The sequence below is a fragment of the Homo sapiens genome, chromosome X (assembly GCF_000001405.40).
Source record: "Homo sapiens chromosome X, GRCh38.p14 Primary Assembly".
Taxonomy (NCBI): domain Eukaryota; kingdom Metazoa; phylum Chordata; class Mammalia; order Primates; family Hominidae; genus Homo; species Homo sapiens.
Window position 1 is genome coordinate 114,682,180 of NC_000023.11, and position 24,431 is coordinate 114,706,610.

Below are 24,431 nucleotides of genomic sequence, written 5' to 3' on the forward strand. Positions count from 1 at the left end.
TTTTCTTTTTTAATAAATGGAACAAGAAAGGAATACCCAGAACCACAAAGAAACATATTTAAAGCATTAATGGAAGAAAGATAAATGCATATCTTTAAAATGCTACAATTGAGATTAAATTGGTGATTAAAATTTGCCATCTTCTGACAACAATAACTTTTTATATATATTTTAAAATGAGTAATACTATTTTCATTAGAAACTGAATCTTCTAAAACTGGACTACTTATTATCTATAATTGGTGGGCGGCAACACATTAAAATTCAAATTTCTACATATTTCCATATGTAAATGTGCTTTTTATATTTTTTAATATGCTGCTCTTTTTAGGATTTCAAAGTTCAGAAAAATAAGATTGCCTTGGAAATACAATTTATTTTTCTTTCTCTTTAAAAGTCTATTTCATGAGCTTTCTGCTGTTTAAGTTTTACAGTAGGGCTCCTGACATTCTTCATAGAAATAAATCTTATTTCTTTTGTTTACCCAGGAAAAGAGAAAGAAATCTGTAGTTCATTTAGAGATAAGGTCTGTCTCCTGCTCACCCTCCGCCTTTCCTTCCCTCCATCCCTAATACCTTTTCTTGGTGATTCTGAAACTCTATAAAATACTGGTATATAATAGGCTTCATCTTACATTTCTCTTTAGGCTTTTCTTTTAAGAGGTGGAACAGTGTAATGCATATAACTACTTGAAAAGGAGCAATTTGCCTTTGTTCACTTCATTCGAAGATATCTATCAATTTAACATTATTCAACTGTATCTAGAAGATTCCCTTTCTGCCAAATTGGAAAATAGGTACCCATATTGATAATACCAGGCAAGCATATCTTACTGATCAGATACCAAAATATGAGGTTGTAACTATGATCGTAATATGATCAGACCAACCATGATGGAGATGACAACTCTGTGTCACTCTTGGAAGCCTAATGAAACACTTAAGCTTTGGAAACGTAGACTGTTTTTAACTATTTTTAATCCATCAGTGGTTGTTACATACCCAAAAGATAAATGATTGCTCTTTGAGGTTCTTTACAACACTCGTTGAAAAATAAATGATGAATATAATAGATTGAGGATAGACATAACTTATCCTGAAACTGCTATTCATTTATAGCATTATATCATCTAGTCATACAAAACAAACACATTCATACACAGATGTACCTGAATGCCATATTGAGACTTTTAAATCTTTTTTTTTTTCCTTGCATTCTCTATCCCTAGTAAATGTAAGCTGAAGTTTCATCCTGGTATCGGGGGAGAGGGATAAAGGGACTCATCATCCATAAAACTTAGGTATTGGTAAAGAAGAACAAGCTGGCCAGGCACAGTGGCTCACACCTGTAATCCCAGCATTTTGGGAGGCCAAGGCGGGCGGATCACTTGAGCTTAGGAGTTTGAGACCAGCCTGGTCAACATGGTGAAACCCTGTCTCTACTAAAAACATAAAAATTAGCCAGGTGTGGTGGCCTGTGATCCCAGCTACTCAGGACCTCAGCTCCTTGGGAGGCTGAGGCACAAGAATCGCTTGAACCCTGGAGGCAGAGGTTGCTGTGAGTCAAGATGGTGCCACTGCACTCCAGCCATGTGACAGAGTGAGATTCCATCTCAAAAAAGCAAAAACAAAACAAAACAAAAAAAGAAGAATCATTTAGGAATTTCAGACAATGCGACCTAGTAAAAGAATGACTCTCTGTTCAAAATGCTTGACTTCTGAGAATTATCTTTTTTACACTTAAAAATTTGTTTTGAGAAATATCTTTTGAAATAAAAATATTCTCTGTACAAGTTCATACAATTGCTAAGGCACATATCTTTCCCTGAAAAAAAATGACCCTTGCCAGCAGTGAAAGTATATTTAATTAATATAAATTCATAAATTCTATTTTAATAACATAAGCGAAGAGCTTTATATTGAGAGCCCTTTGAGATAAACTGTATCAATAGATTTCACAAGCTACTCAGTTGTTATTATGTATTAATTTAGTATTTTTATATTTTTTCATCAGTTTTATCTTAGAACTTTCCTGAAGTGTCCTATTATGTTTTCTATCATGTTTGTTTGCTTGTCACATTTTCTAAAATGGTTAGCTGACCGAGACTAAAGAATTCAATAGAAATTATTAACTAATCTCAAGTAAAGATATTGCTCTTAGAACTTTTGGCCAAGAGTTAAACATAGCTGGAAAAAAGTCTAAAGCTTATACTTATTTTAAAAGAGGCATTGCCTATTCTGAAATTAAATGTTCTTCATAAAGTAAAAGTATGCTTTGGAATGTGCTTTATTTTCTTCTTAGAAGCCAGGTATGTAATAATAAAAAATACCTCTCTTATTTCACAGCCTTAAATTTTTTAGGTTACTTTTATTTAGTAGTTACCCTGGTTCTCTTGACTATTTCTTGAAAGGGGGAGATATTTTTCTAAGGAAAAATAGGCAGATAATTTCTACTTTTATGAGACTCTTTACAAACACTCTAAGAATAAGTGCAAAAACTTTTTTGGCATATAAAGTATTGCAGCTTTTTTGCAAAAATACCAAATCTAAGAAAATGAGAATGGTAGTGGGAGGATTGTATTTCTCCTCATTATAGTACATTAAAAATAGGTCTTTACAGGAAAAGGACTAAAACAAGATACTTAAAAAATAACCATGATATAAATGGTTTACTATTTTAAAAGTTTAATTTATAATAGCTGTTTTTATCAAAAATCTCTGCCATGAAAAGCCTTTTTCTTGAAGTCTAGACAGGTAAGAAGTTTATATAAATACATCAATAGATCAAAAGGCTAAAATCTTTCAATTAATAATGAGATGTAGTTTGATGCACTGAAAGGGAAACAAGAGCAGTAATACAATTTGTATACTGCAGTCATGACATTTTAGTGACCTTCAAATTTGATGGATATTTGTTTTCTAAAGGTTATCATCATGTTTAAAAATATTTTATTAATTTATAACATTTATACCATAAACACCATTAATTTATATCATTAATAAATTCCACTATAATGTATTAGTGAACCAGTTAGCAGCTGTAAGATTGAGTAATATTTAGACTTTTATTAATAGTTTCTAAATGTCCCAGACTAATTAAATCTTCTCATTCCACAAGAACAATGCTTAATTATCTTGACTACACAGCTTATAAGCAAGATATTAATAGAATATTCTTGTTTCACACCTTCAGTGGTATGGAGACTGTCAGTAAAACTATCTCTTTTCATTGCTAACACTTCATTGGACCGATTAGATGACTTCTGAATTCATTAGTGAAGTGCTAACTTCCTACTGGAACTGGAACTGGCATAGTGTGTTTTATTACTGTGTATGTTTACATGTGCTGATACACCTTTCAGAAAGTTGAATCTTTGACTAACATATAAACCTGAAATTAGACAGTAACCCGCCACCAGAGGGATTGTCAATCTCTGGATTGCCTAAGTGTCAGATGTCTGCCAGGTGCCATACGTTTATCTAAAGCAGGTTATAGCAGTGGATTATCATAGAGTCATAGCAGTGGATTATCATAAAGTCATAGCACTTTAGAACAAAAAAGAGTCTAATCCAATTGTTCTATTTTGCAGAGGCAAAAAATGAGGATTGGATTAACTATTTCTACCTAGCCAGTACTTTATCCGTGTTAAAAATGTTATTACTCAAATTAGCTGATGTGCACAGGTAGTGGTAGTGATTTTGCTACCTGATATTATAATAGAAAATGATTATATTTAATTTCCCCTTTTTCAGTGAAGCTTTCATCATTAGGGAAATTGGCCTGATCATCTTATGATCATAATTACAACCTCATACTCTGAAGGGCAGTTGATATAGAACAAATCCTTTTCAAAGCAACAATATAAATTGAGATCATTTGGGTAACTTTCATGACAGCTCTTCCCTATTAGCATTCACCACTTTCAATATTTTATTGTTCCCAGACATGATTAAAATGAATCTTTTATAAAAATAACTTTGTTATCTAAAACTTTTTACCAGATTATAATATGAAAATTCTTCAGCTGAAGGAATAATTTTTAGCTACCCCACTTCATGGCATGTTCCAGAAATAATTCCCCACTGGGTCAACATCCCCCAGAGCTCTTCTTCACAGACAAATAGAGACACAAAGAATGTATGCAATTTGATGTTACTGAGCACATACACATTTTGGAACTATTATTCCCCCTATCAGATAGTACTATTACTCTTGCTTTTAGTGGTAACTTTGACAATTTATTGCTAGAATTATTCATCTTTAGTGAGGCTGAAGGTCCAATGTTAGAATGTTTTAGAGACTTATTTCTGAGAGGGCCTTAGGTCTATCAAGGTGGGCAAGGTTGTTATTTTTAATCAAAATAAAATGTTATGAATCATTTAAAAATGTAAACTCTTTAAACAGTCTACAATTTTAAATCTTTTGTTTAATTTAGAAAGTAGGCAAGGCTAGAAAGGAAAGGAAATTTTACCCATATTACTTCCACACAGTATATTTATATATTTTATTTAAAAAATTTTTTTAAATAACATTTAAAAACAGGTTACAAAATACTTATGGCACACATCAATGGATATAACTGTAAAATACATTATATAACTTTTATGCAATTTTATTTTACATATCCTCACCTTAAATAAAAATAGCAAAATTTTATAACGTTTCAGATAAGAACAAAATAAATTAAATAATACAAAGACTCATGAATTTCAATTTGTTTCTATTTTGAAAGAAGAGTGAGAAAAATTTTAAATTATTTTAATATTCAATGTAGCTTCTTTAGCCAGTGCTTTCCTTAGGTTAAATAAAATTTGTGTGTAAAGTCAATGATGGGAACATCATTTTGAAAATTACAGTAATAGTTGAGTTCATGACACTGACTTAATTACACTGACGTTTAGAAGAGATTTTATAAATTTAAAAGATTATTCCTGTCATTTACCCCAGCTATATTTTCTTCCAATAAGGCTTTAAAACTTGCTTTGGAAAATGCTATGCAGAACAGTTACTTAGCATGTGTAGCAAGATACGAAGTGGGAAATACAGATGAAAAACAAGTTTACACTGTTTAGAAAACAATTTGGTCTAGTGCTGGTTATATTTGCACTTTCACAATACATCCTGTGCATTATGCATTACTTAAAAATGTATTCGTGTTTTACACATTTTATGTACTTTCATTGATTTGAGAATTTGAAAGTCTTTCAACATCATCTCAAGGTATCCTGTACTCCATCGTTTACTGGTACATTGCTTAAAATTTCACGTGTGTCATATCTAGTCTTTAAAAATATTTGTAATTCTTTTATCAAAGAACGGATAAATGCCTAAAATTTGTTTTTATTTTATTATGAATTTTGTATTGTTATTAAGATTAATTAAGATTATATTGCAATAAAAATTAACAGTTGACTTGTTTGTCTAATTTTGAGACCAGCTTAATATGATCTATAAAGTTTACAAGTATAATTTCTGAATAATGTAAGTTTTAAAAATATTACTGTTTTTTAATCAAATAAATAATGAGATAGGTAATTCATAGATAAATGTAAAGTGCAGTTGAGACTCTTAACCAACGGTCTCTTAATACACAATTTATTTTGTCTGCCTTCTTTTATAAATATCAGCTCCATTCTTGGGCAACTTTTAATGTCTCAAGCGTTTTCCTTTTCTACTATGCTCCTGATCTTCATTAAAGTTTTCTGTAGAATGGTTATAAATATTAAAACGGTCATAAATGTTGAAACTTTCCTTAAGTAGGTAATATTTGTTATCCAACGTCTCAGAGGAATTTCCATTTGCTTCATAAAGCATGGCACTTTTTTAAAGACAAAAAACAAACCTGGAATTGACATTCACGGCCGAGCACGGTGGCTCATGCCTATAATCCTAGCACTTTGGGAGGCTGAGGCAGGTTGATCACCTGAGGTCAGGAGTTTGAGACCAGTCTGGCCAACATGGTGAAACCCTGTCTCTACTAAAAATACAAAAATTAGCCGAGTGTGGTGGCACCTGCCTGTAATCCCAGCTACTAGCGAGGCTGAGGCAATAGAATCGCTTGAACCTGGGAGGCAGGGGTTGCAGTGAGCCGAGATCATGCCACTGCACTCCAGCCTGGGTGACAGAATGAGACTCCATCTCAAAAAAAAAAAAAAAGAAAAGAAAAGAAAAGAAATTCACATGCATCTGGGAACAAGTGCTACTCCAATGCTGTAGCAATTGTCCTACAGCGCACACCACTATGTAGAAAAATGAATTTTTATTAATGATAAACATACATAAGCAACCATGACATAATTTAAAAATCGTCTTATAATTTGTCAGGTTTAATAAGTAGTTCACTTGGTTCAGCTGAATTATACATGTAGTACTTTTGCTACCTGGGATTAGAAAACTATTTTATCATTCATTTCTTAATGGTTGATAAGGTGAATTCTAATTTTAACAGATTTTTATTCCTAGTCATAGAAATGTAGATGCGAATTGAGTCTGTACATCTGCTTACATTTTCTTTCTATAAGCTAGTAAGTAAATAGGCGTTTTGTTTAACAAATCAGACTGAACAGAGTTAGTACAATTTGGCTGGCCAGGGCCTAGCATTAAAGAGAAAACTGAGAAAATTTGCATAGCTGTGGTGTTCCAGACCACCATTTCTTTTATTATTATTATTTCAACATTTTCTGGGTACAGGTGGTTTTTAGTTACATAGATAAGTTCTTTACTGGTGATTTCTGAGATTTTGATGCACCCATCACCCAAGCAGTGTATGTTGCACTCAATGTGTAGACTTTTATTCCTCGTGCCCCTGTAACCCTTCCCCTCGAGTCCCCAGAGTCCATTATATCATCCTTATGACTTTTGCATCCTCATACCTTAGCTCTCACTTATAAGTGAGAACATACAATGTTTGGTTTTCCATTCCTGAGTTACTTCACTTAGAATAATGGTCTCCAACTTCATCTAGGTTGCTGTGAATGCCATTATTTCATTCCTTTTTATGGCTGAGTAGTATTCCATGGTATGTATGCGTATATATATATATATATATATATCACATTTTCTTTATCCACTCATTGCTTGATGGGCATTTAGGCTGCTTCCATATTTTTGCAATTGCAAATTGTGCTGCTATAAACATGTGTGTGCAAGTGTCTTATTCATATAATGACTTATTTTCCTCTGCATAGATACCCAGTAGTGGAATTGCTGGATCAAATAGTAGTTCTACTTTCAGTTCTTTAAGGAATCTCCGTACTGTTTTCCATAGTGGTCGTACTAGTTTACACTTCCACTGACAGTGTAAAAGTGTTCCCTTTTCACCACATCCACACCAACATCTATTTTTTTTTTATGTTTTAACTCTGACCATTCTTACAAGAGTAAGATGGTATCGCATTGTGGTTTTGATTTGCATTTCCCTGATAATTGGTGATGTTAAGCATTTTTTTTCATATGCCAGACAACCATTTCTGTGTGACTTCAAAGACAGCATCACTTCCTCCAAATGAAAGTGAGTATAGGATTTGTAGTAGTGAAATGACTCATTATAACCAATCAATGTAAAGATGGTAAACTATAAACTAACATTTATTATAATTTTAATACAACATTTAATGTTCCTAAGTCAGTAACTTAATAGTTAAAGTAGAACTATAATATGGTAGATTAAATTTGGTTTGTGATGCAGTACTTTTTAAAGTGAAATTAAGTTTGCAGTTATTGCTGGGATCATTGGCTGTCATTTGTGAGATAATTCATAACTCATTTTTTTGAACTCATTATTTATAAAAGGTATCAATTTGACAGCTCTGGAGACACACTTCATTTTTTCAATTCAAATAATAGGAACAGCAATGCTGAAACTTTCAGCAGCATCTCCAACTAAAGCATCTGTCACGTCTATCACTAATTTGAAAAGTCTGTTTCCTGAGTGAGGAATTATTTTGGTCAACACATCTGAGCAGCACCCCAGAAAGTCAGCCTTTATCCTCAGAGCAATAACGATGATAGTGACAGTTCTTGACTTTTGGGAGATGCAGATGTATATCTGGTTAAGAACTTCCAGCTTGCAACCCAGCCATTTCCTCCTCTCCAAGTAGGGGGCAAGAATTAAATATGCTAACATGCAGAAGTTCTTCCTAGCACAGTACCTTTCATTTAATATGTGATAGTTTTCCTTTTATTGTTTCTTTTCTTCTCCAGAATACTTTTGAAAAGAAACTAAAACTAACACTACATTATTTTGATATTTGACTGTTTTTCATCTGCCTCTATACCCTTCAAGATGTTTCTTTTTCAGTATCATTTTCTTCTCTCATTTTTCATTCAACTCTAACAATAAAATTGTACATAGAAAATAGAATACAATGAAGAAATTTTAACTGAAAGCCTGCATTTTAGGAAGTAGCTCACAAAAAAATAGATGAACCATAAAGGATTTCTTTATACCATAATGAGCAAATTAGTAACTAAATAGAAAATCATTGATTCTGGGATAATAGGGCAGGTGCTCTCCTTTATATTAGTTGAGTATCAGCTTGAGATGAATGTTATAAAAATAGAACTCAATACGGATTAAAAACAATAAGCATGCAATGTTTTGCTTGATTCATTTAAAGACAATACTAGAAAAAATTTGAGACTGATTTAATACATTTATCGTGTCATGGAAAACATATGACTTATACCCTAGGTTGATTCCTTTTTTGACACTGCATCGCATCCTATTTATGGATGAGAAAGAGTTGGGTCATTAAACATATATTCCTTCCATGGATATCAATACTTTTACTTTAGCATCACAATCATATTGATTATAATAATTATCTTAATTTTTATCATTCTCAATCCTTATAAAAATCCTCAACTCTTACTAATTCCATTTTATAGAAGAAGCAATTGAAGGTAAAAATGATTGAGTGTCTTGTAGAACAAAGTCATACAGTGAGAAAGACAGGACTTTTCTTTAAAATGAATACTAGATTACTTGCTTCTTTGGTTCCCTTGAGAATTTTTCTTAGTAGTGAAATACTAATTATACAGAAGTCAATGGCAAACAAGTGTTTGTGAGCTAGAAATGGGCATATACAGGACTAGGGTAAAATGAAAATCACATTATCAACTGCCCGATGCTAAGTGTTAGAGGTTACAGAACAATATTAGTGATGAAGCCCACTTATCATAGAAGTCAAGCTTATTTTGCTCTGTTACAGACTAATGAGAGATGCAATTTAGAAAGGATTTCTGTATGAAACCAAAGTTTACCTGTTTATCATATAACACTTGCTTTTTTGTTGACTCTCTATCTTTGACAAAGCAAGTTTTTAAACAATTATTTGAATTTTCTTTTTGATTATATTCTCTACCATACATGCTATCTTAATTCTGTGTATATTCTCTACAATGTCTTAACTACTCAATAGTTTCTTCATTCAATAGATATTTACTGAACTCCTACTTTTTGCCAGGTCCTGTCTTAGGGAATTTACTGACAAATATCTACGCTGATAGTTAGAGACATAGTTCGGATTCACTTGATCAATTATATTTGGTGTCTTTGAATGTTTAATACAAATTACAAGTATATTTATACAAATGAATAGATTTCTTCATAAAATGTGTTCATCCCAGATGGCCACTGCTTCTTAGAAAAAAAATAACGTCTATATATCTTCTTGATACAATTACTACTAGCTTGGAATTTTTGAAACCTTAGGAGAGAAAATACCACAGCCAAACTATTTTCAGGCTTTATTTTCCTGCTAAGGGAAGATTCTGAATCTTTCCTAAAAAATAAATATTACATTTCTCCTAAATTTTTATCTTCATTTTCATAGAGAAAGTATTCCTCTCAGGAGAAGTGACTATCAATTTTTCTCTTCAGAAGAATTTTTATACTTCAGAAGTATTTAGTTTGACTATTAGACAATCCCAGAAAAAGCATTTTGCTCATCTCTAAAATGTGATGTTTCAGGTTATATGTTTTACTTCAAGAAGAATATAATTTTAATAGTCACCAGATATCATTACTGAACATTATCACTTTCCAGCCAAAAAGAAAGTAAAGCATTTCAGAAATACTTATTCCTGCCCACTCATTTCATAATAAGACTTCAAGTAATTTATTGCCTAATATAAGACAATTAGTGAGTTCTACAGTCAACGACATGGACAATGCCAGTTCTTGTGAACATTTCCAAGAGGATATTTATGCTTAACTTTTTCTTTTTTAAAAAATAAATAGCTTTATGTAATTAAGTAGCTTTACCTTATAACATATAATTAGAAGATTTAAGTATTCATTGTAAGATCTTTTTTATGTATACATTTATTAACTAGAGGCATGTGACTTCAGCATCATGAACCAAGTCAGTATCTGAATATATATATTCTTTACATTTTTTTTTGCCACTACTTTTGAGATCTATTACTGTATGGGGTGATTTGAATATACTATAAACTTTTGGTAAAACTTTTCTCTCATGTTAAAATAACTTTTTAAGTGCTCAGCAATATAGGTATTATAAGAATAAGTATTGTGACTAAAGAAGATAATCAGCAGAAATGCTGCCTACAAGATAAATTTGAAAAAATGAATTAACATACCAAACGTTAGCCCATTTCCATCTCAAAATACACAGCTTGCTTTTTTTCTTTGAAAGCCAATGGCTCACAGAAAGTTTATTCAACAAGTATTTCTTGAGTGCCTACTATGTACAAAGCACTGTATGAGGACTTTGGAGCATAAAAGCAGTATAATACAAGGAAGAGTATGAAAAGAAGCTTGGGAATGAAACCACGTGAAACAGCTGAAAGGAGTTCAGAGATAGGAGAGATGACTTCTTTCTGTCAAGGATAGCATAGTAGATAGCAACCAGTTTTTTTATGTTATTACAGATAAATAATACAATATTCCCTCAAGTAACTGTTTAATATCAAGCATATAAATATTTCAATATATATGTCAAACAAAAACAGCATGTTTCAGTTTTTTATGTTTGTTAGGTAAGATAGAGCAATAAAGGAAGGGATAGAGAAAGGAAAATGCAAAGAATGGACAGAGGAAAGAGATACGGAAGAAGGATAAGGGAAGTATGGAGAGAAAAGAAGTGTCTCCATATTACTCCATATCAAGGATTATAAAATAGCTTCAGATGACCAGTATAAGAGCTCTGTGTAGAACATCCCAGGACTTCCTGTCTTTTAAAAGATAATAGGAAGTAGATTACAAAGATCTATGTGAAACTTACATAATTGGATATAGACACCTCAGTAAAGAGTTATGATAAATAAAAAGAGATTAAGTCATGGACAAGGTATAGCTAGACCAGGGTTTCTCATCCTTGGCACTATTGACATTTTGGGCCAAATGTTTCTTTGTTGTGGAGGGTTGTCCTGTGCACTGCAGGTTGTTTTGCAGCATTTCTGACATTCACCCACTAGATGCCAGTAGCCACAATTTTCCAATTATGAACGGCATTAATGACTCCAGACATCTTCAAATATCTCCTCAGGGATAAAATCACCCCTGGTTGAGAACCACTGACCTAGAGCATAAATATTTCAGTTGTAGTGAAGGAGAAGTTTAGAAAAGAAAGTACAGTCACCCGACACAAATGATAGCCACAAAATGAACGTCATGGGAAGAACAGGGATTATGATCTAATGTGGAGATACGTAGAAAAATAAATGGAACAATGAGAAGAGAGAAAACATAATGGAAGCACATTGTTCTTTTGGGTAGTTTGCAATGCCTTATGGCTGAAGTCTCTCTACCTATGAAAAAATAGACAAATAATGGCATGACCAAACAAAACTCTAGAAAAAGTATCATTTAGTGTCAAACATGATAGTAATTATCAAACTTTACTATGTTTTTCCTGACAGTTTTAAGGTATAAACAATTAATATCTTTGGAACTGCCTCAGATTTTAGAATTGCCCCACTTAGCTTTTCCCTGGGAAAATAATATTGCTCATCTAAAGGAAAAAAGTAAGATAATTAATGAAACTGTTTATTTTCCTTCACTCTTGAAAGCATGAGGAAGAATAAATTTTATTCCATAAATTTTTTCATGGCTTCCATTTATTAGTAATTTTCACATGGTGAAATTCAGGTATTTTACATAGAATTTCTTTTTTATTTTGTTATTACAATTAATATTTCGAACACCCAAAATACATTCCATCTACTTGTGCGTTATGAAACCATGGATTATATGTATTCCAAACTCTGTTCATTCTATTCCTCAACTAAATATATATATATATATATATATATATATATATATATATATATATATATATATATATATACACACACAGATTTAGACAGAGTCTCATTCTTTTTGCCCGGGCTGGAGTGCAGAGGTACAATCTCGGCTTACTGCAACCTCCGCCTCCAGGTTCAAACGATTCTCCTGCCTCAGCCTCCTGAGTAGAGTAGCTGGGATTACAGGCTCCCGCCACCATGATGGGCTAATTTTTGTATTTTTAGTAGAGATGGGGCTTCGTCATGTTGGCCAGGCTGGTCTCGAGCTCCTGACCTCAGGTGATCTGGCCCACCTCAGCCTCCCAAAGTGCTGGGATTACAGGCGTGAGCCACCATGCCTGGGCACAACAATCTATTTCAAACCTCACTAGTAGCACAATGTCCTCTGTATTTCTAACCAATAATCTAAAAATCACTGCTATATTTTGATATTGGAGGGTTGCAAAGAAGTAGAAAAGCTTTATTTTTTATTTTAATATTTTCAGCTATTTTCACAGTTTACCATTGAAACTTTAAAATCAAGGGGCAAGAGTTATTGACAATTTGCCTCCCTTTAGGCTTTCTCATGACAAGCAAGATTATAATTTCTGGCCTTTTAAAAATAAGAATGTGGTGACTACAGACTCATCCCCTTAGGGAAATTTGTCACGCAAACCGATTACCTAACTTATTAAGGCTTGTAGAAATTTGGTATGCTTTTAAGAACAATAAGTATTATTTGATGAAGAAATTTTAAATAGATATGATTCTTTCATTTTGTTAGAGACCCTAAAATGAACCTCGAAACAGAAGATATCCCAATGATTGTATGATATGGGAACAAAAACATAGCGTTGGGTTTTCTTGTTTTGTTTTTGATACTATAGATTCAGACTTTTTAGCTAAGACTAGGATTGGAAGGTTTAAAATATGTTTGGTTGTGCATGAGTAGAGACAAGAAACAACAAATAGGAAGAATGCTCTTTGGCTTTCTTAAGCTAAATATCTGCTTTTACTAAATAATCGACCCTCTGTTATAAGGCTCTGTTTCAAATTTATCTTCAATGTCATCATGATTGTCTTCCTTTATCCTTACAAGTTCATTTTAATAAACACAAAAAAATTATTTAAACATATTGTATTATATAATTCCTAGCACCATGATATTTATTCACTGAAATCTTTTGAAGAGCCATGAATTTTTTAATAGCAGAATTTTATAAACAATAATTTAAATATTTTCCCATTCAGTAGTAAACACTAGCTGGGAACCACCAACACTGTGCAAATAGTAGCTACAGTGAGCAAATAATTCCTATGAGGTTTTGTGAGCTTTTCACTCAGTTAATTGAACAATACAGTTATATGCTCACCCTGACCCTCCAAACTCAGTAGGAGAGTTATTATGGGGTCATTTATCCTGCACATTGCAAATATGAAATGCTATATAAATGCACAATTATAATAATGATGATGAGTTGCAGTGAGGCTTAATGTCATTGTCCCTATTTAAGTATAATTTAAGATTGGATTTAGCAAGATTTCTTTTTCATTAACAACAGGAATCACATAATCACACTAGGAAACAAATGAATGTCACTAATGAGACAGTTTTGTTCAAGTAGCATGCTTTCAATATATTAGTCAATTCCTCAAAGTCCTATAAATGAGCATGCTTTATATATTATTGAACAGCATTATATAGGCATCGGTACTTTTCTCTGACTTCAAGCAAGACCATACATTAAGCATACCAGGAAAAAATGAACTTATATCTATCCTCCAAAGGCTGCAGTAAAGTTTGATTCACTGGTATCTTTTATTAACTACAACAGTCACGTCACCCTTCATCTTTGGCAATATAGTGACTTTTAGGCTATGCCTATATCTGTTTTACCTTCTTCCTTCCACCTCTACTTGCAAACAAAATCTGTATATAATCAATAGCATGTACTGAGATGATGCTTCAAATTTACCGAGAAACGAAAAAGAATATGTGGAAGAACAAAGGGAAGTCTTATATGTGCTACTTAAAATCACGAAATTAAGTGTAGCAGTTACGTGTAATATTTGAGTGTAGAAAATAAGATTAGAAACTCTAGAAACAATGTTTTTCTTCAGTCAAAAAACTCCACAAAGATGGACAGTAATAGAAGTAGGAGCAAAGCTGAATTAAAGTACACAGATAACAGGTTTTTTTTTTTCTTTTTTCATTTATCGAGTTGAAAGTCGTTTTATTTTCATTGTTTGCTGGACTCTATTAAGGATTTACAGGGCAACAGGAGGGAAAAGAATTTGATAATCTTTGATCAAACTATACGATGTTAATGATACTTATTGCTCATCTTTCTTCTATTTTTTTTCTATTATTAATTCTCTGTGGGCCTAGCATTTACCTCTTTATCGCATAAATCTTAAAGCAAAGAAAATAATGCTCATAGTAGTTGCTTATTAATGGATTTCTGTGAGGTTACACTGCAGGGAAAGGATTTAAAAACATAATAATCCTGCCAGTCCTTTGAACAGTTTAGAGCACAGGAGATACTTAAAGTTTTATAGCTTTCTCCTGGGAAGCCATCAGCTCTTTGCCTTTTCTCGAATTTAAGATTTTAATTGCCTCAGTGTTTCAATAACAATTACAGCCTATTCAGAAATTTCCTTTCCATGATCTGACAGCTCTGGGTTTTAATTTCTGAGAAGCTTTCCTTAAGTAGGTAATATTTGTTAGCCAAAGTCTCAGAGGAATTTCAATCTGTACATTATGGAATAAATTTCCCATTTATCTGCTTTTGATCCATCAGTGTTTTGATTGATTGTGTATATTATGCAAGCAGAGCTTTCCAATGTTTCCTTTTTCTCTTGTGCCACCAATCTAGCAATGCATTGATTTGATCACTTGACTTATTAGTTCATATTAATCCAAACAAAGTATCTTCCGCTTTTTTGGCATAAATTTAATTCAATTTCTATTCAGACTTGTTCAAATCCAATAAAGTTTTTCTATTAAGATGGATTGTGGTGAAGTGCAACTTCTGATTCTTTCCCAAACTTCTTTGTCCTTCAGAACATAACTTTAGAAAATTCTAAGCCTGAATCTTCCGTATTTATTTAGGAGAATATGAGAAAAAAATAAATAAAATGTAGACATTTCCTCAAATCCATTCTCTTTGATAGGGAAGAAACAGTTTTACCTAACAAAAAGGCCAGGCTTTCACCTGCTACATCCTGCAATTCTTCTGTTCTTCACCCCTGTTCTCTACGAATCATTTGGCTGAGACTGTACTTTTTGCTTAAGCTATCATCCTCATTACTTCTTCTTGTACCTCTTACATTAACTGTATTGACTAACAGTATTAGTTTTCTACTGCTGTGTAACAAATTGCCAAAAAAACCTAGTAGCTTAAAACAATACCCATTTGTTAGCTCACTGTTCTGTAAGTCAGAAGTCCAGGGACCTCATCTGGGTTCTCTGTTTAATGTCTCACAAGGATGAAGTCTAGGTGCCAGCTGGGCCCAGCTCTTATCTAGAGGCTCTGGAAAAAATCTGCTTTCATGCTAATTCAAGTCAATAGCGGACTCAGTTCTTTAGGGTTGTAGGACTGAGGTCCCTGCTTCCTTGCTGGCTATCAGCCAGGGGCCATGCTCTGCTCCTACAGGCAACCCACATTTCTTCTAACGAGGCCCTTTCCATGGTCAAAGCCAGCGACTGCATGTAGAAGCTTTTTCATGCTTCACTTGGACACCCCTTTCACTTATAAGCCAGAGAACATTATCTGCTTTTAAAATGTTAATAGGATGAGAATAACTCCACTTGGATAAGTCTTTTTGCCACCATATAAGCCAACATGCTCACAGGAGTGATATCTCATATTTACAGGTAAGAGAACTTGGGTTAGCATGGTAGAAAAAGTTCCGTTATCATGGAAAGACTTCCAGTACCCTTCAATTTTTTTGACTGCTATCCATAGCATTGAAATGCGTTGTTCTGTGCAATCCAGAACACAGGCACAAACACACACACACACACACAAACACACACACACACAAACACGCACACACACAGAGAAATGTTTCACCAAAGAGTACTTATTTTTACTTTGTGCAATAAATGTTATTTTCAAATGTCTTGTATTTCATTAAAGGAAAATATTAATTTAACTTAAAAAATTTATGACCAAACCTACTAATGCATTTTGTTTTGTTTTAACCAGATTGGAAAAGGCAGTCACTTTTGTTTCACTTTTTGGAAACCCATTTGTAATTTTGATGTTCTACAAAACTGAACTATCAAAATTGGGATTAAGATAACATCTGAAGTGAGTTATATGTTCTTTTTAATACTAATTCATCCCATTCTCCTTTTCACATTAGTGTCTTTGTCATGTGCACTTAAATTTAGTTTCAATGCGAAAAAAGAGGCTTAGGAATTCAATTGGTACTCACATAGCTTTTTCCATCCAGGTAGGAGCATTTTATTCTGTGTAAAACCCACCACAATGTTCACCAGTATAAATGATCACTAATAGTAGTTATTGTGATAGTCACTCGACGGCAGCTTTAAAATCTGTGTTGCCTGAAATTAAAAGTGGCCACAGAGGGGAGTCTCTATATATAGTATTAGAATTCTGCCCCAGTCACAATTCTTGTGATTGTTCAACAATAAAACAAATATTAATGTGGTATAGTTTGTTTAATGTCCTCCAAATTTTCTTTTAGAAATATTTTTATAGATATTTTGCTTTAAGCTATGACTTTTTAATATACTCATCACACAACTATAGCTTTGCATCTACCAAACTTGAGACTGAAACACAGCTCTTTTTTCCAATAACGCTGTAGCCTAATGAAAAATTGGCACAGCATGAATCTTTCAGGTTCCAGTTAATTGTTAACTTCTTGAAGAAACCACATTTGACCAACCAATCAAAATTAAACTTTCCATAGCTTCCTGCCCCTTCCCTTCTTAGCACTGATCATAACCTCCAACAATATGGAATTGGTGTAATTATTTCTATAAGGCCTTTATGCTTCATACAAAAAGGATTGTGTCAATTTTGCCTAATACCATGTCACCAGCACCTAGCACAATGCCTGACACACGGAAGGCCCTCAGTTAAGGTTTATTCAATAAATTAATGATGAATATCAGCATGAATTATTTTCTTTATTCCTCATTAAGTGTATTTTGTTAGAGACCTTGCTAACCTGTAGGTTCATGTGAGCTTTTCCTCAGAGAGTGCTATGGCTAATGGGCATTCATGTTACTGCCACTTCAATGGAAAGCAACCACACATAGTTATACTTTGAAAGTCTACCTCCACAACTTCACAATGATAATGTTGATTTTGAAAAACCTTTCCATAGCTATAATTTTTATGGAAGAGGAGAAGAAATATCAAGCTGCTAGGCAATGTGTTCTTTCTTGCATCTGTATTTCTTATGATCATATGATTTTATATGACTGCCAGTTTACTCATTAACATCAAAAGTTGCTACCACAGATATTAGCCTATTGCATTTCTTTTGATTAAGTTATAAATTTTTGGCAAGGATGGCATTAGTGTATAGATTTGAAAGAAAATATGAGCGTAATAAATAGATCTCTTCATTTCATTCTAGCAGTTTGTATTGGCAGGTGATTTTGTACTCATTCATGTTCTTTTTCTTCTGTAATAACATAATTAGTGTAATGAAGCATTGAGTTATCCCTTAAAGTAGAATATGAATGATGCCTAACTGTAAATAGGGCTCACATACCACTCAAAATCATTATGAATAGATGTGAAGGCACATAATTCCACCTATCTTAATAAAAATATTAATTTAACTTACAAAATGTATGACCTCCATTAAAAAATCATTATATCATGTTCTAAAGTTTGATGGAGATAATGCACCTTCCCTAATTCACTGGCTCTTCATTTTATTATTGTTATTTTATTGAATAATAACTACCCTGCAGAAAGAGAAGCCTCAAGGATGTTTTGCTGATGGGATCTGAATCAATATAATGGCTTTAAATGAATTGGACATGCTCATTTTACCCACATCTACTTCCCTGATTTTTCTGAACTTAAAAGTAAAAATGACCCAGGTATTTGATTATTTTATGTTCATTTCAAGACTTAAGAATGAAAAAAGGTCTGGCAACCAAGATGGCCAAATAGGAACAGCTCCAGTCTACAGCTCCCAGCCTGAGCAACGCAGAAGACAGGTGATTTCCTCATTTCCATCTGAGGTATCAGGTTAATCTCACTAGGGAGTGCCAGACAATGGGCGCAGGACAGTGGGTGCAGCGCACTGTGCGCGAGCCGAAGCACGGCGAGGCATTGCCTCACTCGGGAAGCCCAAGGGGTCAGGGAGTTCCTTTTCCTAGTCAAAGAAAGGGGTGACAGACGGCACCTGGAAAATCGGGTCACTCCCACCCCAATACTGCGCTTTTCCGACGGGCTTAAAAAACAGCGCACCAGGAGATTATATCCCGCACCTGGCTCGGAGGGTCCTACGCCCACGGAGTCTTGCTGATTGCTAGGACAGCAGTCTGAGATAAAACTGCAAGGTGGCAGCGAGGCTGGGGGAGGGGCGACCGCCATTGCCCAGGCTTGCTTAGGTAAACAAAGCAGCCGGGAAGCTCGAACTGGGTGGAACCCACCACAGCTCAAGGAGGCCTGCCTGACTCTGTAGGCTCCACCCCTGGGGGCAGGGCACAGACAAACAAAAAGACAGCAGTAACCTCTGCAGACTTAAATGTCACTGTCTGACAGTTTTGGAGAGAGCAGTGGTTCTCCCAGCACGCAGCTGGAGATCTGAGAACGGGCAGACTGCCTCCTCAAGTGGGTCCCTGACACCTGACCCCCGAACAGCCTAACTGGGAGGCACCCCCAAGTAGGGGCAGACTGACACCTCACATGGCCGGGTACTCCTCTGAGACAAAACTTCCAGAGGAACAATCAGACAGCAGCATTCACGGTTCACAAAAACCTGCTGTTCTGCAGCCACTGCTGCTGATAACCAGGCAAACAGGGTCTGGAGTGGACCTCCAGCAAACTCCAACAGACCTGCAGCTGAGGGTCCTGTCTGTTAGAAGGAAAACTAACAGACAGAAAGGACATCCACACCAAAAACCCATCTGTACATCACCATCATCAAAGACCAAAAGTAGATAAAACCACAAAGATGGGAAAAAACAGAGCAGAAAAACTGGAAACTCTAAAAAGCAGAGCACCTCTCCTCATCCAAAGGAACGCAGTTCCTCACCAGCAACGGAACAAAGCTGGACGGAGAATGACCTTGACGAGTTGAGAGAAGAAGGCTTCAGACGATCAAACTACTCCGAGCTACAGGAGGAAATTCAAACCAAAGCAAAGAAGTTAAAAACTTTGAAAAAAATTTAGACGAATGTATAACTAGAATAACCAATACAGAGAAGTCCTTAAAGGAGCTGATGGAGCTGAAAGCCAAGGCTCAAGAACTACGTGAAGAATGCAGAAGCCTCAGGAGCCGATGCAATCAACTGGAAGAAAGGGTATCAGTGATGGAAGATGAAATGAATGAAATGAAGTGAGAAGGGAAGTTTAGAGAAAAAAGAATAAAGAGAAACGAACAAAGCCTCCAAGAAATATGGGACTATGTGAAAAGACCAAATCTACGTCTGATTGGTGTACCTGAAAGTGATGGGGAGAATGGAACCAAGTTGGAAAACACTCTGCAGGATATTATCCAGGAGAACTTCCCCAATCTAGCAAGGCAGGCCAACATTCAGATTCAGGAAATACAGAGAATGCCACAAAGATACTCCTCGAGAAAAGCAACTCCAAGACACATAATTGTCAGATTCACCAAAGTTGAAATGAAGGAAAAAATGTTAAGGGCAGCCAGAGAGAAAGGTCGGGTTACCCACAAAGGGAAGCCCATCAGACTAACAGCTGATCTCTCAGCAGAAACTCTACAAGCCAGAAGAGAGTGGGGGCCAATATTCAACATTCTTAAAGAAAAGAATTTTCAACCCAGAATTTCCTATCCAGCCAAACTAAGCTTCATAAGTGAAGGAGAAATAAAATCTTTTACAGACAAGCAAATGCTGAGAGATTTTGTCACCACCAGGCCTGCCCTAAAAGAGCTCCTGGAGGAAGCACTAAACATGGAAAGGAACAACCGGTACCAGCCGCTGCAAAATCATGCCAAATTCTAAAGACCATCGAGGCTAGGAAGAAACTGCATCAACTAATGAGCAAAATAACCAGCTAACATCATAATGATGGGATCAAATTCACACATAACAATATTAACTTTAAATGTAAATGGACTAAATGCTCCAATTAAAAGACACAGACTGGCAAATTGGATAAAGAGTCAAGACCCATCAGTGTGCTGTATTCAGGAAACCCATCTCACGTGCAGAGACACACATAGGCTCACAATAAAGGGACGGAGGAAGATCTACCAAGCAAATGGAAAACCAAAGAGGCAGGGGTTGCAATCCTAGTCTCTGATAAAACAGACTTTAAACCAACAAAGATAAAAAGAGACAAAGAAGGCCATTACATAACGGTAAAGGGATCAGTTCAACAAGAAGAGCTAACTATCCTAAATATATATGCACCCAATACAGGAGCACCCGGATTCATAAAGCAAGTCCTGAGTGACCTACAAAGAGACTTAGACTCCCACACAATAATAATGGGAGACTTTAACACCCCACTGTCAACATTAGACAGATCAACAAGACAGAAAGTTAACAAGGATACCCAGGAATTGAACTCAGCTCTGCACCAAGAGGACCTAATAGACATCTACAGAACTCTCCACCCCAAATCAACAGAATATACATTTTTTTCAGCACCACACCACACCTATTCCAAAATTGACCACATACTTGGAAGTAAAGCTCTCCTCAGCAAATGTAAAAGAACAGAAATTATAACAAACTGTCTCTCAGACCACAGTGCAATCAAACCAGAACTCAGGATTAAGAAACTCACTCAAAACCACTCAACTACATGGAAACTGAACAACCTGCTCCTGAATGACTACTGGGTACATAAGGAAATGAAGGCAGACATAAAGATGTTCTTTGAAACCAATGAGAGCAAAGACACAACATACCAGAATCTCTGGGACGCTTTCAAAGCAGTGAGTAGAAGGAAATTTATAGCACTAAATGCCCACAAGAGAAAGCAGGAAAGATCCAAACTTGACACCCTAACATCACAATTAAAAGAACTAGAAAAGCAAGAGCAAACACATTCAAAAGCTAGCAGAAGGCAAGAAATAACTTAAATCAGAGCAGAACTGAAGGAAATAGAGACACAAAAAACCCTTCAAAAAATTATTGAATCCGGGAGCTGGTTTTTTGAAAGGATCAACAAAATTGATAGACCGCTAGCAAGACTAATAAAGAAGAAAAGAGAAGAATCAAATAGACGCAATAAAAAATGATAAAGGGGATATCACCACTGATCCCACAGAAATACAAACTACCATCAGAGAATACTACAAACACCTCTACGCAAATAAACTAGAAAATCTAGAAGAAATGGATAAATTCCTCGACACATACACCCTCCCAAGAATAAACCAGGAAGAAATTGAATCTCTGAATAGACCAATAACAGCCTCTGAAATTGTGGCAATAATCAATAGCTTATCAAGCAAAAAGAGTCCAGGACCAGATGGATTCACAGCTGAATTCTACTGGAGGTACAAGGAGGAACTGGTACCATTCATTCTGAAACTATTCCAATCAATAGAAAAAGAGGGAATCCTCCCAAACTCATTTGATGACGCCAGCATCATCCTGATACCAAAGCTGGGCAGAGACACAACCAAAAAAGAGAATTTTAGACCGATATCCTTGATGAACATTGATGCAAAAATCCTCAATAAAATACTGGCAAACTGAATCCAGCAGCACATCAAAAAGCTTATCCACCATGATCAAGTGGGCTTCATCCCTGGGATGCAAGGCTGGTTCAATATACACAAATCAATAAATGTAATCCAGCATATAAACGGAACCAAAGTCAAAAACCACATGATTATCTCAATAGATGCAGAAAAGGCCTTTGACAAAATTCAACAACCTTCATGCTAAAAACTCTCAATAAATTAGTACTGATGGGATGTATCTCAAAATAGTAAGAGCTATCTATGACAAACCCACAGCCAATATCATACTGAATGGGCAAAAACTGGAAGCATTCCCTTTGAAAACTGGCACAAGACAGGGATGCCCTCTCTCTCCACTCCTATTCAACATAGTGTTGGAAGTGCTGGCCAGGCAATCAGGCAGGAGAAGGAAATAAAGGGTATTCAATTAGGAAAAGAGGACGTCAAATTGTCCCTGTTTGCAGATGACATGATTGTATATTTAGAAAACCCCATTGTCTCAGCCCCAAATCTCCTTAAGCTGATAAGCAACTTCAGCAAAGTCTCAGGATACAAAATCAATGTGCAAAAATCACAAGCATTCTTATACACCAATAACAGACAAACGGAGAGCCAAATCATGAGTGAACTCCCATTCACAATTGCTTCAAAGAGAATAAAATACCTAGGAATCCAACTTATAAGGGATGTGAAGGACCTCTTCAAGGAGAACTACAAACCACTGCTCAAGGAAATAAAAGAGGATACAAACAAATGGAAGAACATTCCATGCTCATGGGTAGGAAGAATCAATATCGTGAAAATGGCCATACTGCCCAAGGTAATTTACAGATTCAATGCCATCCCCATCAAGCTACCAAGGACTTTCTTCACAATATTGGAAAAAAATACTTTAAAGTTCATATGGAACCAAAAAAGAGCCCGCATTGCCAAGTCAATCCTAAACCAAAAGAACAAAGCTGGAGGCATCACACTACCTGACTTCAAACTATACTACAAGGCTACAGTAACCAAAACAACATGGTACTGGCACCAAAACAGAGATATAGATCAATGGAACAGAACAGAGCCCTCAGAAATAACGCCTCATATCTACAACTATCTGATCTTTGACAAACCTGAGAAAAACAAGCAATGGGGAAAGGATTCCCTATTTAATAAATGGTGCTGGGAAAACTGGCTAGCCATATGTAGAAAGCTGAAACTGGATCTCTTCCTTACACCTTATACAAAAATTAATTCAAGATGGATTAAAGACTTAAAGGTTAGACCTAAAACCATAAAAACCCTAGAAGAAAACCTAGGCATTACCATTCAGCACATAGGCATGGGCAAGGACTTCATGTCTAAAACACCAAAAGCAATGGAAACAAAAGACAAAATTGACAAATGGGATCTAATTAAACTAAAGAGCTTCTGCACAGCAAAAGAAACTACCATCAGAGTGAACAGGGAACCTACAGAATGGGAGAAAATGTTCGCAACCTACTCATCTGACAAAGGGCTAATATCCAGAATCTACAATGAACTCAAACAAATTTACAAGAAAAAACAAACAACCCCATCAAAAAGTGGGCGAAGGACATGAACAGACACTTCTCAAAAGAAGACATTTATGCAGCCAAAAAACACATGAAAAAATGCTCACCATCACTGGCCATCAGAGAAATGCAAATCAAAACCACAATGAGATACCATCTCACACCAGTTAGAATGGCAATCATTAAAAAGTCAGGAAACAACAGGTGCTGGAGAGGATGTGGAGAAATAGGAACACTTTTACACTGTTGGTGGGACTGTAAACTAGTTCAACCATTGTGGAAGTCAGTGTGGCGATTCCTCAGGGATCTGGAACTAGAAATACCATTTGACCCAGCCATCCCATTACTGGGTATATACCCAAAGGACTATAAATCATGCTGCTATAAAGACACATGCACACGTATGTTTATTGCAGCACTATTCACAATAGCAAAGACTTGGAACCAACCCAAATGTCCAACAATGATAGACTGGATTAAGAAAATGTGGCACATATACACCATGGAATACTATGCAGCCATAAAAAATGATGAGTTCATGTCCTTTGTAGGGACATGGATGAAATTGGAAATCATCATTCTCGGTAAACTATTGCAAGGAAAAAAAACCAAACACCGCATGTTCTCACTCATAGTTGGGAATTGAACAATGAGAACACACATGGACACAGGAAGGGGAACATCACACTCTGGGGACTGTGGTGGGGTGGGGGGAGGGGGGAGGGATAGCATTAGTAGATATACCTAATGCTA

The 24,431-nt window shown here is 35.2% G+C and overlaps 1 protein-coding gene across 3 annotated transcripts in view, besides 1 other annotated feature; it reads left to right on the plus strand.

Moving 5' to 3' along the window:
• The window catches only part of HTR2C (5-hydroxytryptamine receptor 2C), a 325,976-nt gene that overhangs the window by 98,094 nt on the left and 203,451 nt on the right, over positions 1–24,431 (plus strand). The window lies entirely within an intron of this gene.
• Positions 18,346–18,847: an enhancer, noted in NCBI's record as "H3K4me1 hESC enhancer chrX:113934941-113935442 (GRCh37/hg19 assembly coordinates)". NCBI's record gives its function as "activates a minimal SCP1, AML or CMV promoter by ChIP-STARR-seq in naive H9 embryonic stem cells {active_cell/tissue: H9 hESC(naive)}" and the evidence as "EXISTENCE:reporter gene assay evidence [ECO:0000049][PMID:30033119]".